This window comes from Homo sapiens, chromosome X (assembly GCF_000001405.40).
Source record: "Homo sapiens chromosome X, GRCh38.p14 Primary Assembly".
NCBI lineage: Eukaryota > Metazoa > Chordata > Mammalia > Primates > Hominidae > Homo > Homo sapiens.
In genome coordinates this window covers 9118632-9134238 of record NC_000023.11, presented here as the reverse complement: position 1 = coordinate 9134238, position 15607 = coordinate 9118632, and the positions used below count along the sequence as shown (strand labels likewise).

The 15607-nt window shown below is 41.9% G+C and overlaps 1 pseudogene, besides 1 other annotated feature; it reads right to left on the bottom strand.

The window, feature by feature from the left end:
• Nucleotides 293–411, bottom strand: RNA5SP499 (RNA, 5S ribosomal pseudogene 499; annotated as a pseudogene).
• Nucleotides 2554–3753: an enhancer, noted in NCBI's record as "CDK7 strongly-dependent group 2 enhancer chrX:9098527-9099726 (GRCh37/hg19 assembly coordinates)". NCBI's record gives its function as "activates an origin of replication core promoter dependent on BRD2, BRD4, P300/CBP, MED14 and CDK7 cofactors, with strong dependence on CDK7, by STARR-seq in HCT116 cells {active_cell/tissue: HCT116}" and the evidence as "EXISTENCE:reporter gene assay evidence [ECO:0000049][PMID:35650434]".

Here is a 15607-nt window from a genome sequence, read left to right as displayed (position 1 = left end):
ACATTATTGATTGTAAAATGCAAACTGATTTAAGAGACGTTAAAATGCTTTTTACAGTTACCTTATATTTAATAAAATGTGATCAAAGTTTTGCTATGAAAAAGAGATATAATTTACATACCATACTATTCACCCATTTAATTTGTACAATTCAATGGTTATTAGTATATTTGCAGATTTATGCAACCATCACTACAATACATTTTAAAACATTTTTGTTACCTTCAAAAGAAACTTCATATCTTTTCATTTTTATATTTATTTATTTTTTAAATTTTATTTTATCTTATAAAGCTTACAGCACCCAGCATTCTCAGGTGGTCTCCCATCCAAGTTCTAACTAGGCCCAACCCTGCTTAGTTTCCAAGATCAATTGGGATCAGGCATGTTCAGGGTGGTCTGGCTGTAGATAGACACTTCATATATTTTTAGTTATTACCCCCCAACCCCTAGCCCTCGGACCCCCATCCCAGCCCTCAGCAACAATGAATCTGCTTTATGTATTTATAGATTGGTTACAGACATTTACAACTGATGTTAGAAGTCACATTGCTTTTGTCATATTCATTGCTTAAAAGTGAGTCATTAGGTCCAGCCCACAGACAGGCAGAGAGGCTTCTACAGGGAGGTGGGATTCTTGGAAGCTGCTTTAGAAGCAGCCTACCATAGGAGGGAACCAGGAATGTGTCAGGAGCCTTGAGTAGATTTAATGTCCTTGCTTTTAAATTGAGAGCCCATGAATACTTGGAAGGAAAAGCTTCCCAAATGGTCAGGCCTCCTACTGAGAACTTGTTAAGAGGCTGAGACCATCTTATCTCTTGATAGTTATGCATATATGAGGGCAGAGAGACCATAAGGGATGAAAGGATGACATGGCTTCATTCTCTGCAGCTCATAAGGCTGTCTTGTGAACAAGGCAAAATGTAACAAACCTGCACGTTGTGCACATGTACCCTAAAACTTAAAGTATAATAATAATAAAAAAATGAGATACGGCAAGACACAGGAAGGGAGATGATATGGTTTGGATGTGTGTCCCCTCCAAGTCTTATGTTGAAATACGATCCCCAATGCTAGAGGTGGTGGAGCCTGGTTGGAGGTGGTCATGGGGGTGGATCCCTCATGAAAGAGTTGGCGTCCTCTTCATAGTAATGAGTGAGTTCTTGCTCTGAGTTCGTGTGAGATCTGATTGTTTAGAAGTGTGTGGCACCTTCTCCCCTACCTTGCTCCTGCTTTCACCATGTGACACGTCTGCTCTCCTGCCTTCCGCCATGATTGGAAGCTTCCTGAGGCCCTCACCAGAAACAGGTGCCAGCACCACACTTCCTGTACAGCCTGCAGAACTGTGAGCCAAAATAAACCTCTTTTCCTTATAAATTACCCAGTCTCAGGTGTTTCTTTATAGCAGTGCACCTGGACAGACAGAGGGAGATCCTCTTGAGCGTATCCTGTGCTGCATCTGCCTTTCCCCTCTGGGTGTGCTCTGGTTAGCCAGAATAACTTGGAATTTTCCAGGCCCTTAGAACTGACCTCTGCAAGACAGAAGTCTTGTGTCCAGGGCAGGTGACCTTTGACTTTTAGCTTTTTAAATATAGACATTGCATACTAATGAGGACAGCCTGGTGTTGTGATAATTTAGTTTTTCCCTGAGTGCTTCCAGAATCTAGTTCCATGAAATTCTCAGTGAAATCATTGTCCACCCTTAGATATTCAAAATACATGCTGACATCTGGAAGGATTACAGTAATGAAACTTGCTTAACTTCATTTGACTGGACACTTTCCACACATATCTGACCATGAGACACCCGCCCCCCCCACACACACCCATTTATCCATCTGTTCGCATTGTAGGGCACAGGCAATGTCCACTGCTGTAACTCTCTGTAGACTGTGGATTCTCCCTGTTGGCTCTTGTTAATACTGTGCCTTAAGGCCATTAGAACTATTGATGTTTGTCACATGAAAGCTGTTAAGCCAGGGATTCCTCATAGTGTACTTCCTTGGTGGAGTTCTGAGCCTATATAGAGGAGTTTACTTCGATCTCTGTTAAATAGTATTGAGTTAAAGGTCAACTGTATGCGAGGCAGCATATGATATGAAAGCTCAATTGATTTTACTGCTGCCAACTGGCTAAGCTTGTAGGGATGATATTGAATCTCCAGGCCGTGATTTATTTTATGGACCATTGTTCCCAAAATAGGCAATCCACAAACATTCCAAAACATCCGTTTTAGTATTGAGTGGGCCAGTGCTGAGTGCACAGTCCTTCCTCTCACTGCAAAATGCCATTCTTCAGATTAATATCCATCCCACTTTATAGCTGACCCACTTCTAGGTAAAGCAGTTAAAAAAACAGCGAGCACTTTACTTCAGATAATATTTCTTCACTTTCCCCACAAAGAGCACCTGTGTGAGTTATCTTACAGTCAATGGGGATCACGTTTTCAGTATTTTCTCAGCTATCTACTGAAGGCTGCATCAAGAAAGAACTGGGTTAGACTGAAGGGAATTGTTTTAGTGAATCAGCATTAGCTCCTGGTAATCAATATAACATTCCCTAGGAGCTTGAAAAAAAATTTGTCTAATGTATTTTAGAATTCACAACTAAACCGTGAGTCTTTGGTTTGGAGTCTACTTCTTTGCCTTATTTTCAAGTTGGTGGCAACTCCAGACTTGAGGAGATGTGCCTGTATTTCGGGATGACTAGGAGTGGTTCTCTGCAGTTTTTGGGTACAGCCTTTCAGTGAACTTGAATGGATCTAGAATTCTCACCTGCATCTAGAATGCTGCACTAAGTTTAAACTAATTGTAGATTACATCTTGTGACCGTTCTTGGTTTTGGCCCTCTTAATCATGTTGTGTCTTCCTGTCTAGCTATGAGAGGCTGAACCCTAAGCTCCTCCGGTGATTGGTATATGCATCATGCATGCCCTGTCTAATCATCTCCCATTGAGTGTGGGTGAGACCGGTGAATATGATGAATGTCATTCTCTTGATTACGTTACCTTAGATGGCAAAGATGAGTTGTCACCCACTCATGATTACATTATGTCATATAAGACTCCATGGTAGCAGGCTGGAGAAAGAGAGAGAGACACTCTCCTGGAACAACTGAAAGGCACTGCAGAAACAAACTATCATTTTGTGAGAGGGTCACAGGCTAGGGCCTGAGGGTAGCTTCTGGAAGCAGTGACCCCTGCCTGACAGCCAGTGAGAGCACAAAGGCCTCAGTGCTACAACTGCAAGGACTTAATTCCTGCCCAAAACCATATGATCTTGGACAAGGACCCCAGCTCCAGACACCACAGCCTGACACCTTGATTATAGCCTTGCAAAGCCCTGAGGGCTGGACTTGGTTAAGCTGTATCTGAACTCCTGATCCATGGCAACTGTGGGCTAACAAGTGTGTGTTGTTTCAAGGTCCTAAGTGTGTTATTTGTTGCACAGCAAAAGATAACTCACACACCAGCTTAAAACATTCTCCTTAGTAGCAAACATTTCTTGCTCTGATGGGATAATATTGTGCCACCTATGCCACCCAAGGTATCTATTCCAAATGCTTCCACTTCGTCTCTTGCCTATCCTTGACAAAGTCTCTGTAGATGCTGCAGATGGACTTGGCACACTTCACAAGTCCCAGCTCACTGTGGCCCTGCTCATCTCCATTTGCAGACTCCTCCTTCCTCATGTTCCTTTAAAATTGGAGCTCATTAAGGAGATCTCTGCAACCAGGGATGGCACCCTTTCTTTTTATGAAGACATTTGAGATAATACTATCAATGAAAAGGCCTTTTTAAAAGGCAATCATGCTGCTCTTTCCTTGCTGTATTAGCATTTGTGATGTTGCCCGAGACTTTTTTCAATTTGCTGCAATTAATTTTTTAGTGGCCTCCCACGCTTACCGAAGAAACAGAGGCTTGCTCTGAAGGGAAGTGGTGTCATCCCCTGCCACACCCACACAATGTATTAGAATCCGGGAGTGGTGAAGAGGCAGTTTATTCAGGTGAATTAAAAGGGGGCGTTTTTCATGGGGAATCACAAGTAGGTAGAGGAGGCACCGGCAGTGAGAGAAGTGGGACTGAGACCTGGCACAGACACAGCCACCTTCTACCCTGCGAACGTCAGCAGTCTGTTCTTGGAAAATCAAAGATCTGCAGGAAAATGCCAACAAGGAGCCTAAAATACATCACAAATGTTGCATTGGAGAAATGTGAACATTCTCTGAAGTTTGGGTACTCAAGGTTAACAGGCCTTCTACTGGGAAAGTGTTAACCAGGAAGACATCTGCTGCACATGCCTCCAGTATGCTGAGCTTCTCTCGGAGATGGATGGAAAATATGTGAGCTATAGATGCAACTAGTCCCCTGGCTAGAGGAGAAGGGAAATTCGGGTTCTTGCTTTTAAGTAAGAATGCAGTTTCCATACCCGGAAAGGAATACGTGATTTAACAGGGAAAAACAGAAAACAAAAAGACCTGGAGTCAACGAGTCGTCGAAACTTGTGTGGAGATGATGATGAGCAGAAGCCAATTGTGCAGAAGCATATCTCAGAGAGAAGAAATTCCCTGTTAGGGGGAGCATAAAAATACAAGTAAGCCCTCCCCACGGGGATGCAACTGTAGCTACTGAAAAGCCACAGATGTCTGGCAGGGAGGATGCCCGGACCCTTGCAGATTGAGGAGACATGTTGCCAGCTGCAGATGTCCTGCTTTGAGATCTTTACTGAGAGTCTGGGGCTGCACACATTGAGCTAGGAGTTTGTAATCTTAATCCAGGACTGAGAGAAAGTAGAGCAGTTTCCAAAGGTGTGGTCCGCACAACACAGATGACACCCCAGAAAGCCAAAATGACACTGGCAAATGTGGCCTCCTGACCAATGTACCATTAGTGTGTCAAATAAAAGAATTAACACATTTTCTTCTATAGCACACAGTTTCTGAACAGAATTTCTTTAATAGTGCAAATTACAATTTGTGACTATATTGTGTATTGGCTTACTTTTATTGCAGTGGGCTGTTTTCTCAATATAATGTAATCGCTATTAGGGCAGGTTGCATGTGTCATTTGTCCAACACTACATCCTTAGGACCTGAGTCAGTTCAGCCAGTTCTAGGCTCAATAGGTCTTCCTTAAACATGTACTTAATAAATGCATAGAGGAAATGATTGTTTTTTAAAATATTTGTTTATCATTATTTTTTCAGCTTTTATCTTAGATCCAGTGTGTAGACATGCAGGTCTGTTACCTGGGTATTTTGCATGGTGCTGAGATTTGCCATCTTTATATTCTTGAGCATCCAATGTTTAGCTGCCACTTATAAGAGAGCATATGCATTATTTGGTTTTCTGTTCTTACGTTAATTCACTTAGAGTAATGGCCTCCAGCTGCATCCATGTTGCTGCAAAGGACATAATTTTGTTCTTTTTATGGCTGTGTAGTATTCCATGATGCATACGCACCACATTTTCTTTATCGAATCCACCACCGATGGGCACTGGGGATGATTCCTTGTCTTTGCTGTAGTGAATAGTGCTGTCATGAACTTGTAAATACATGTGTCTTTTTGGTAGAACGATTAGTTTTCTTTTGGATATATACCCAGTAATTGGATTGCTGGGTCAAATGGTAATTCGGTTTTAAGTTATTTGAGAAATCTCCAAACTGCTTTCCACAGCGACTGAACTAACTTACATTCCCACCAACAGTGTAAGCATTCCCTTTTCTCTGCAGCCTCAACAGCATCTGTTGTTTTTTGACTTTTTAATAGTAGCCATTCTGACTGCTGTGAATTAGTATCTCATTGTGGTAAAAAATGGTTATTAAAAAAATGTGTTAGTCCTTCTTCCCTCCATCCTTCCCTCCTTCTCTTTCTCTCCTTCCTTTCTTCCTTGTCTCACTCTATATCAGTGAAACAACTGACAGTCCCCTGTAGCATTCAGCATTTCATGGAATGCCAAGAGTCTACCGAAGCCTCTACGGCCCTAACATCTTCCCCTTTCTGCTGATTCAGATGCACCCAGATGGCACTGCCAAAAGTGATCTGCAATGCATCGCTTGTGACTGAGTTTCTGCCAAGAAAACTAAAGGGCTTGAAGCCAGACTTCTCTGTTTTCCACTTGGATATTGTGGTGGTAGAAGAAAATGGAAATTAGTTGGGCAGAATCCTGAGGCGGTCCCAGAGAGTCCCATTCCCTGGTATATACGCCCTATATAATCTCCAACCCTTATGCATGGGCAGAGCCTTCGGATATGATGGGATATCACTCCTGTGATTAGGTCACTTGTCAATCAACTTTGATTTAATCAAAAGGGAGTGTCTTGGTCTTTTTTCTGTCGCTTATAGCAGAATACATGAAACTGGGTAATTTACAAAGAAAATGAATTTGTTTTTTACAGTTATAGAGGCTGAGAAGCTCAAGTTGAGGAGTCACATCTGGTGCGGGCCTTCTTGCTGGTGAGGACTCTGCAGAGTCCTGAATTGGCACAGGGCATCACATGGTGAGGGGGTTGAGTGTGCTAGCTCAGGTGTCTTTTTCTCTTCCTATAAAGCTACCAGTCTCACTCCCATGATAACTCATTAATCCATTAACCCATTGATTTATAAATGGATTAATCCTTTCAGGAGGGCAGAACCTTCATGACCCAATCACCTCTTAAGGCCTCCTCCTCTCAGAATGGCCTCATTGGGGGTTAAATTCCAACGTGAGTTTTGAAGGGGAGAAATATTCAAACCACAGTGGGGATACTATCTGGTAGGGTGTGATCCAATCAGGTGAGCTATTAAGAGGAACTCAACCTTTCCAAAGTCAAAAAGATTGGAAGTGTGAGGAGGGCTATAGAGTGGGCCAAGCACCAAGGAATGGAGAACAACCCCTGGTCAACAACTAGCAAGACAATGGGAGTCTACAGCTACAAGGAAATGAAATGAGCTTGGAGGAGAATCCCAAGCTTCAGAAAGAAACACAGCCCAGTTAATATCCTGATTGCAACTTTGTGAGGCATTGAGCTAAAACTGCAGCTAAAACAGAGCTAGACTTTTGACCTACATAAACTGTGAGATAATAAATGTGGATTTTTTAGCCATGATATTTGAGGTAATTTGTTATGCTGGGATAGGAAACCAATATAGAGATGTTGACATTTGGTTCCATTGATGGTGTCAAGGAGTAGAAACTGATTTTCAGGATGATGGCTTACTCTCCTTCTGGCAAGGGAGAGCCTGAAGAACCAGGTCATGGTTGGCAAGGAAATTATTCACAAACCTGGTCCAGTAAGACATTTTCTCTTGGGGCTTAATGACAGTGCTAATGTTTTTTCCATGATCCATTTTTTTCCTTCACTGGGTTTATGTTTGCTTTTCAAAATAAGGCAATGGTTCACTGAAGAAGATAAACCACCACCACCACAACCACCAAGTACAACAGCATAAATCAAACCAGAAAATGTTCCTAGGTTTTAGTAGGGAAGTTTTGATCCTCAGGTAGAAAAGTAGGGCTATGCTATCTACTTTCCCCTTGAGATTTATTTTTCATTGGGTGCATTTCACTTTGACTTTCACAGTCATAAACTTGCCCTGAACCAAGGAGCACAAACTTGAAGAAAGGAGCACAAACTTGGACAAAATCCCTCTCCCGAACAGGCTGGGATTTAAAAAAGTAACTGTACTGAGTATCATGGCTGAACCAAAAGGAAGTAATTATTTAAAGCAATCATAAAATAATTTTTTAGATTAAGTTTTTTCATATTTAGATTACCTTTCTGGTCCTCTGAAAACTGAGCTTTAGCCACATAGACAGAGCAGCTTTCTTTTACACAGAATCCTTCATCCTTGTCTTTAGTTAGGCATCTACTGAGCGTAAGCCAGAATTCTCGCCCCCGAATGAGCACAAAAGGCCCACTTTTGAAAAGTACGTATTTTCTTTTTCTTTCTTCTTTCTTTTCTTTCTTTCTTTCTTTCTTTCTTTCTTTCTTTCTTTCTTTCTTTCTTTCTTTCTTTCTTTCTTTCTTTCTTTCTTTCTTTCCTCTCTTTCTCTCTTTCTTTCTTTCCTCTTTCTTTAACTCTCTCTCTCTCCCCCCCTCCCTTTCTTCTTCAGGGTCTCACTCTGTCACCCAGGCTGGAGTGGAGTGGTGTGATTACAGCTCACTTCAGCCTCAACCTCCTGGGCTCAAGTTTTCCTCCCACTTCAGCCTTCTGAGCAGCCGGGACTACAGGCATGTGCCACCACACCTGGCTAATTTTTGTATGTTTTTGTAGAAATGGGGCCTCACTATATTGCCTAGGTGGGTCTCAAACTCCTGGGCTCAAGTGATCTGCCCACCTTGGCCTCACAAAGTGCTGGAATTACAGGCAGGAGCCACCATGCCTGGCTGCATTTTCTACTTTGAATAGATAATACTCTCACGTATTTCAAAATAAAAATAACACAAAATACATATAGGGAAAAGTATGGATTCCACACACTCCCTGTCATATCCCCAATCTCTGGTAATCACTTTTCTCTTTATCTTATATATGCTTACTGAACTTCTCTATGCAAATAGGATATATGGATATGAATCTTGTTTCCTCTCCTTCATTCATTAAAAGTAATTTCGAGGGTGGGCACAGTGGCTCATGCCTGTAATTCCAGCACTTTGGGAGGTTGAGGCAGGTGGATCACCTGAGGTCAGGAGTTCCAGACCAGCCTGGCCAACATGGTGAAACCCCGTCTCTACTAAAAATACAAAAACAATTAGCCAGGCATGGTGGTTGGACCCTGTAATCCCAGCTACATGGGAGGCTGAGGCAGGAGAATTGCCTGAACCCAGGAGGCGAAGGTGGCAGTGAGCCAAGATCGTGCCATTGCACTCCAGCCTGGGCAGCAAGAGCGAACCTTTGTCTTAAAAAAAAAAAAAAGTAATTTTGAGAGAAACAGAAATGAAATTAGCTTTCATAGGAACTGTGCAAATTTGTGCTCCCTGTGTCAATGTGCAAGAATCTAGAAGACCCCTCTAACTGAAAATTCATTTATATTAGTCTTTTGGTAGGTTGGCCACTCCCACACAGATCTTACTTCTGATCTGATACAGAGGAGAAAGCAAAAAGGAGAAAACTTGAAGCTACAATAGGCTAGGCCATTCCTGGGTGATTATATATACATACCATCTCTTAAGTCTTCCAAACAGTGGTATAAGATGGGCCTGGCTAATCTCATCGTACAGTTGAGGATACTAGGCTCAGAGAGAGTCAGTAATTTGCCCAAGGTCCTGCAGTTAGGATATAAGTGTGTTTGCCTTCCAATCTATGGACTCCCCACATGGCCCTGAAGGAAATGCCCAGTTCATAGGAATTAGTCCCTGTTGGACTCAAAGAAATAATTTAATTTCTGAGGGTCCTGGGTTCTACTCCAGCTGCTTTTGGAATCTTTGTAGTTGCAAACTTTGTGTAAGACTACAGCACATGTTGGAAAGTGGTCTTATCCAGTGCGGACCCATCTGTGACAACACCTTGAGCAGCAGTGGCTCCAATGCATGGATGATAAGTCTTTGCAAGTGCCTAAGGTGGTTCTTTCTTGTAGCTTCTTGAAAGATATAGTAAGCTATGGGTAGGAAGGGGTTAGGAGATATGACCTATATTCTTTTCTCTCTCTCAATGTCTAGAATGACACATTCTTCTGAAGTTTAGAAGGAAAAAAGAAAGCAAATTTATTCTTTTTACATTGACAGTTTTGATAATTAGACATTCACATTGTGGAAGAAACATTTAATTTGTGGACCCCACCTCTATCCACAGCTTGCATCCCTTTGGTCTCCTCCAACTAGAGCCATGATATGATGGTCCTGCCCAGGTCATGTAAGTGAGAGTCTGCCAGGTGGGGTCCTGGAAACCTTTTTCTCTCTTGATAAAGAGAGACTCCACTGATGTCCTTTCATGTTTTGCCCATCCTTCTTTATGCATGGAAGCCTGGACGCGAATCAGCCTTCAAGTCTCTAAGGTCACAGCTGTGATGGACATGGAACAAGGTGCTATGGGTTGAGGGACAGATGCAGAGAGAGCACAGGACCCCAGAGGCATCATTTTCACCAGCTCTTGGCTACCTGCCTCCTGACTTCTTGGTATATGAGAAAAACAAACTCTCATTGTTCAAGTTATTACTTTCTCCTTGCCGTATTTTTCTCATCCAAATACAAAACTACCTGAGGCTATTATAGACTTGTAATTTCTCCCACCCATGGAAAAATGTGATGATTGTTAAATCTTTAGAAATAATGAATAATGGTAAAAAGAAGTCATCCAAGTTTTAGCATCCATTATGACAAAAAAATCAGAATATGTGTTGCTGTTCTAAGAAATTTAGTATTAAGAGAGCCATATGTTTATGCCTATGTTTAAAAACATAGGGATTAAAATTAGTCTTACTTTCATAAGGCAGCCATTGGCACCTGATTTCTGATGAAACCACTGGTTATTTGCTGTACCAGGTTAAAACAAATTACTTTTATTTGTATATTATATATATATATATATAACATCAGGACTGCTTGTGAATTGCCATCTGTAATGAAATTTTATTCTATGTAAATGATATCTAATTATTAAGAAGAATTGTTGTCAAGATAAATGAGTAAATAAAGCTGTCTATGATCTTAAATTTTGAGAAATATACTTAATCTGAGTTTCTATTACTTTCAATTATGTCAGTGAAAAATAACTCTAAAATGTTATATTCCGGGATGATTTCGTGATTGGCTTCAAGGCTACCATTTCTTGTGGAAAGAAATCAGTGAGATTAAAAGGAGCACAGAAATATCATGATAAATATTTTAGAGCTTTTAGTAGCTGAAAGACACAATTTGAAGAGAGTTCAACAGAAAGAGAAAGAAATGATGAAATAAATTCAAGGGCTGACATATGATGGAAGATCAAAAAGATGCAGTCCATGTGTTTTGGTGGGGCCATAACTCAGAATGATATATCAATCTATAATTATATGAAAGGCAACACCTGGGAGAGAAAGACATAGAAATAACACTTTTACTAGGTTTTGATGTGTCTGGGCACAACTCTCATTCATTTCTTCAATAGTATTTATTGAATGCCTGCTGTGGGAAAGCACTGCCTTAACCATTGAGCATACAAAGAATAAAGACTCAATCCTGGCCCCAAGGTTTCCACAGTCTGGTGAATGAGTCAGAGAATGAATGGGTAATAAAAACAGACGGAAGAGGAATGTATAAAGTGCTGAAAGATGCAGAGGCAGCAGAAGGCTAATCCAGCCTGCGGGTGTCAGAGAAGACCATGGGGGAGGTGAGGCTACGTGGGGTCCTGATGAACTGTGAGGGACTAGCTAGATGGGAGAAAGAAAACACAGGTTGTCAAGGCACGGGAGGTAACTCACATAAATGTACCAAGAGCATGGTGCCTTAGACAAATAAGGCACCCTTGCAAGTAGTTTCAAAAGGCTAGAATAGGGTGCCTGTGGGTAGGTAGTAAGAGGATGTGCTGGGAAAAGCAGAAGGAAAGTTGCTAAAGGAACCTGCACGTGATGGTAGGTCATGACATATTTTCAGCTGGGGAATTGCACAATCAGATTAATGTTTTGGATAGACCACACAATCATATTAATGTTTTGGATAGAATAGATTCTAGATACCCAAGAATCCATGTGTAGAGACACTAGGTGGAAGCCCAGTCCTGTATTCCAAACAAGATTTAGTTGGTACCAGGAACAGTGCGGCTGGAGATGAATAGATGGATTAGAGAGATTACTAGGTACTCTGATGAGGGGTGAGAGAGGAGTGGGAACTTAGCACAAGATCCAGTGTAGACGGTGATGCCTTTTAACACCCACCTGTCTTTTGATCGCATTTTTGGATATATCGAGTTTGACGTGAGCATGCCCCCTTGGTGCAGTTGTGTTTATAGACCTTCTAGCACCATTGAGAGATCTGGGATGTGATATGTGTGTGTGTGTGTGTGTGTGTGTGTGTGTGTGTGTATATATTTGAGAGCTATCAGCATATACAATGTATACAATGGATGGGATCCCCCATGGAAAGTACCCAGAGTGAGGAGAAAAACAGGCTAAAGATGGGATGCTCAGAATCACCAGGAGAGCATGTAAGGAGACTGTGTGGCAGAGGAAGTAGGAGAACTATGAAATAGCGATTTCATGACATGAGTGGAGAGTGGAATTTTTAAGAGGAAAAGAGCTACAGGATCCAAAGTGACCTTGCCGGCAACACTTGTACTGGAATACGAGGGGTGGAAGTTGGTGTGAAGATTGTACATCCAAGGTAAAGTAAGTATCTTAGTCCATTCAGGCTGCTATAACAAAATGCCATAGACTGGGTGATTTAGAAACCACAGAAATTTATTGCTCACAGTTCTGGCAGCTGGAAGTCCAAGATCAAGGCACCAGTAGACTTGGTGTCTAGTGAGAACCTGCTTTCTGGTTCGTAGATGGCACCTTCTCACTGTGTCTTCACATGGAGGAAGGAGTGAGGGAGCTCTCTGGGGCGTCTTTTATAAGGACACTAATCCCACTCATGAAGGCCTCACCCTTATGACCATGTCACCTCCCAAAGGCCTTACCTCCTAATACCATCCCTTAGAAGTTAGGATTTCAACATATAAATTTTTTGGAGTGGAGATGCATTCAGACCATACCAATAAGTTTATTTATTTATATATTTTTTAGAAATCCCAAATTTTGTTTTATTATATTATCATTCTCTTTGAAACATTCTGGAGTTCAGTGAGCAGGGATACTTATGAGGTAATTCGTAAAATGTCTTAAAAGTGGTGAGATGGTTCACACTACATTTTTTCTGTGTTTGTATCTTTTTTTTTTTTTCTTTTTTGAGATGGAGTCTTGCTTTGTTGCCCAGACTGGTGTGCAGCGGTTCAAGCGATTCTCCTGCCTCAGCCTCCTGAGTAGCTGGGATTACAGGCGCCCACCATCATGCCCAGCTAATTTTTGTATTTTTAGTAGAGACAGGGTTTCACCATGTTGGCCAGACTAGTCTTGAACCCCTGACCTCAAGTGATTTGCCTGCCTTTGCCTCCCAAAGTGCTGGGATTAGGCATGAGCCACCACACCCAGCCTGTGTTTATACCTTTTAACAACTTTTTTGCAGGTATAATTTGCATATCATAACATTTACCCATTTTAAGTGTATAATTCAATGACTTTTAGTAAATGTACTCAGTTGTAAAGCCATCACTCTAACTCCATTTAAAACATTCCCATCACCCCATTGGGATCCCTCTCACCAGTTTACAGTTATACCCCATTTCCCCTGCTCCAGCCCCTGACCACCACAAATCTACTTCCTGTCTCAATGGGCTTGCCTCTTCTGGACACTTCAAATAGATAGAATCATACAATATGAGGACTTTTGTGGGGGGCTTTGTTCACTGAGCCTAATGTTTTCAAGCTTCACCCATGTAGCATGTATCAGTACTTGGTTCCTTTTTACCACTTGTTCACCAAGTATTGACTGCTTGGTTTTGTTTCTTGGAATCCAGAGCTGGATAGAGGTGGATTCACCACTCTCTGGCTACACAGCTCAAATGTCTACCCTGACTCCATGTTGAACTACTGCCTGTGGTCTCTGGGGACCTCAACTATTCTCTTCCCATCCGTGAATCACTGTGCTTTTCTCTGGCCTTGCAATCATGCGGGTATGTTCCCCTTGCTGGGCTGGGGAATGAAAGTGATACTGAAGCTCATGCCCATCTATGCATTTATTATTGTTACATGGTTTATTGTTACATGGTTTATGGAGTACAAGGTGTGTGAATATTGGGGAGGGGAGCACTGTCTTAAATGGTTTCTATTCATTTGCTGAACAGACTCACATGACGCTACAGACGAAGAAACTGAAGCTCAGAAAAATTAAGTACGTAGCCCAAGATCTCAGAGCTAAGTGTGGGGAGTCAAAATTTGAACCCAGATTTACCTGTTTCCAAAGCCTTTGCTTTTTCTGCATCACTGTGCCATTCTGCTTAAACTTGTTTACAGGAGATTACATTTTAGAAGGGGAGGTGGCATCCATACAAATATTTACAGCACAGAGTACCATGTAATGAGTTTTCACAGCACTGTGGAATTCCAGAGGATGGAGAGTTCCCTCCTAGTTGGGAAATAAGGGAAGGATTAGTGAAATGGGTGTTATTTCAACTAGATGTTGAAGGATGGATTGGAATTTTCTCTGTCAGAGAGAGAACAAATTGGAGTTTAGTAAGATGCCTAACTGTGTAGATGCTGGCACCATATACTAAGAAAGGCACCACGCAGAAGAACACACAGCAATTTGGGGTTAGATTGTGGACATATGGAGTTCAAGAAGAGCATTTCAGCAGAAGATAGACATAAAAGCAGGAGACGCCAAACCCTGCTCTATATTCCAGTGTTTCAAAAAAAAAAGGGCCAGGTGCGGTGGCTCACACCTGTAATCCCAGCACTTTGGGAGGCCGAAGGGGGGCAGATCACTTGAGGTCAGGAACCTGAGACCTGCCTGGACAACATGGTGAAACCCTGTCTGTACTAAAAATACAAAAATTAGCTGAGTGTGGTGGTGTGCACCTGTAATCCCAGCTACTCGCGAGGCTGAGGCAGGGGAATCACTGGAACCCGGGAGGTGGAGGTTGCAGTGAGCTGAGATTGCACCACTGCACTCTAGCCTGGGTAAGAGTGAGACTCTGTCTCAAAAAATACATATTTCTAGATATGTTCTATAGACCAATCCTGTACAGGCACCTTCACCTATGTCCTGTGGATCTTAATAGCTCCACATCTTTCCGCCCCTTAAATGGGCAATATCCCTTCTCTGCTGCATAACTCTGTTGGTCTCCTTTAGGGGTCCTAAGCTCAGTAGGGCTCTTGAGACCAGCAAGGAACACGCACTGTCTGCTGTTTGCCTATCAGAACCCATTCTTCTGCACTCTTCATGGTGCTGACTATGCAAAGGAAACTCAACGGGTGCAAACTCAATAGGTGAGCTCTGTTGGGATAAAGATGGTTTTCGTTGTCAGAAGGATTTGCTAGTCTTAGAATCAGAAGTCTTGGATTTGAGTCCCGGCTCCACATGTATTGTCCTTGTGAGAACGAAATAGGATGGTACCTTTAGAAGCAGTAAGCATGTTCACTGCAGCTAGCCCTGCAGAGTGTTGATTCCTCTGAGTCTTCAAGCTATTTCTACACTTTTCAATGTATTTTGGTAATTTAAGAGTTCTGACCAAATATTTAATTCTGCATTTAAAAATGTTAAGTGTTTAGTTTCCTTTTTCTTTAAACTCACTTGAGTGCTCTGATTTTTGGAAGTTTAGCATGCTAAGAAATTTGCATTCATGGGACACATATTCTTGGGCATGTTGATGAAAAATTGATCACCACTGTATCCAACTTGTTTCCTTACACTGAGAAACCTATGTGATTACCTACTGGAAAAATAATGGAACACGTGGTTTTAAAAAAATAACAGTGAGGCAGCAACTCTGCCCTTCCTGCTAATAGACTGCAGGAGACTTCCATAAAGGGCCATATCAGGCAGTTAAGTGATGGCCGTGCAAGGAAGGGAGAGAGGCAGAAAACACACAACTCTAGCATATTCAGCTTCTTT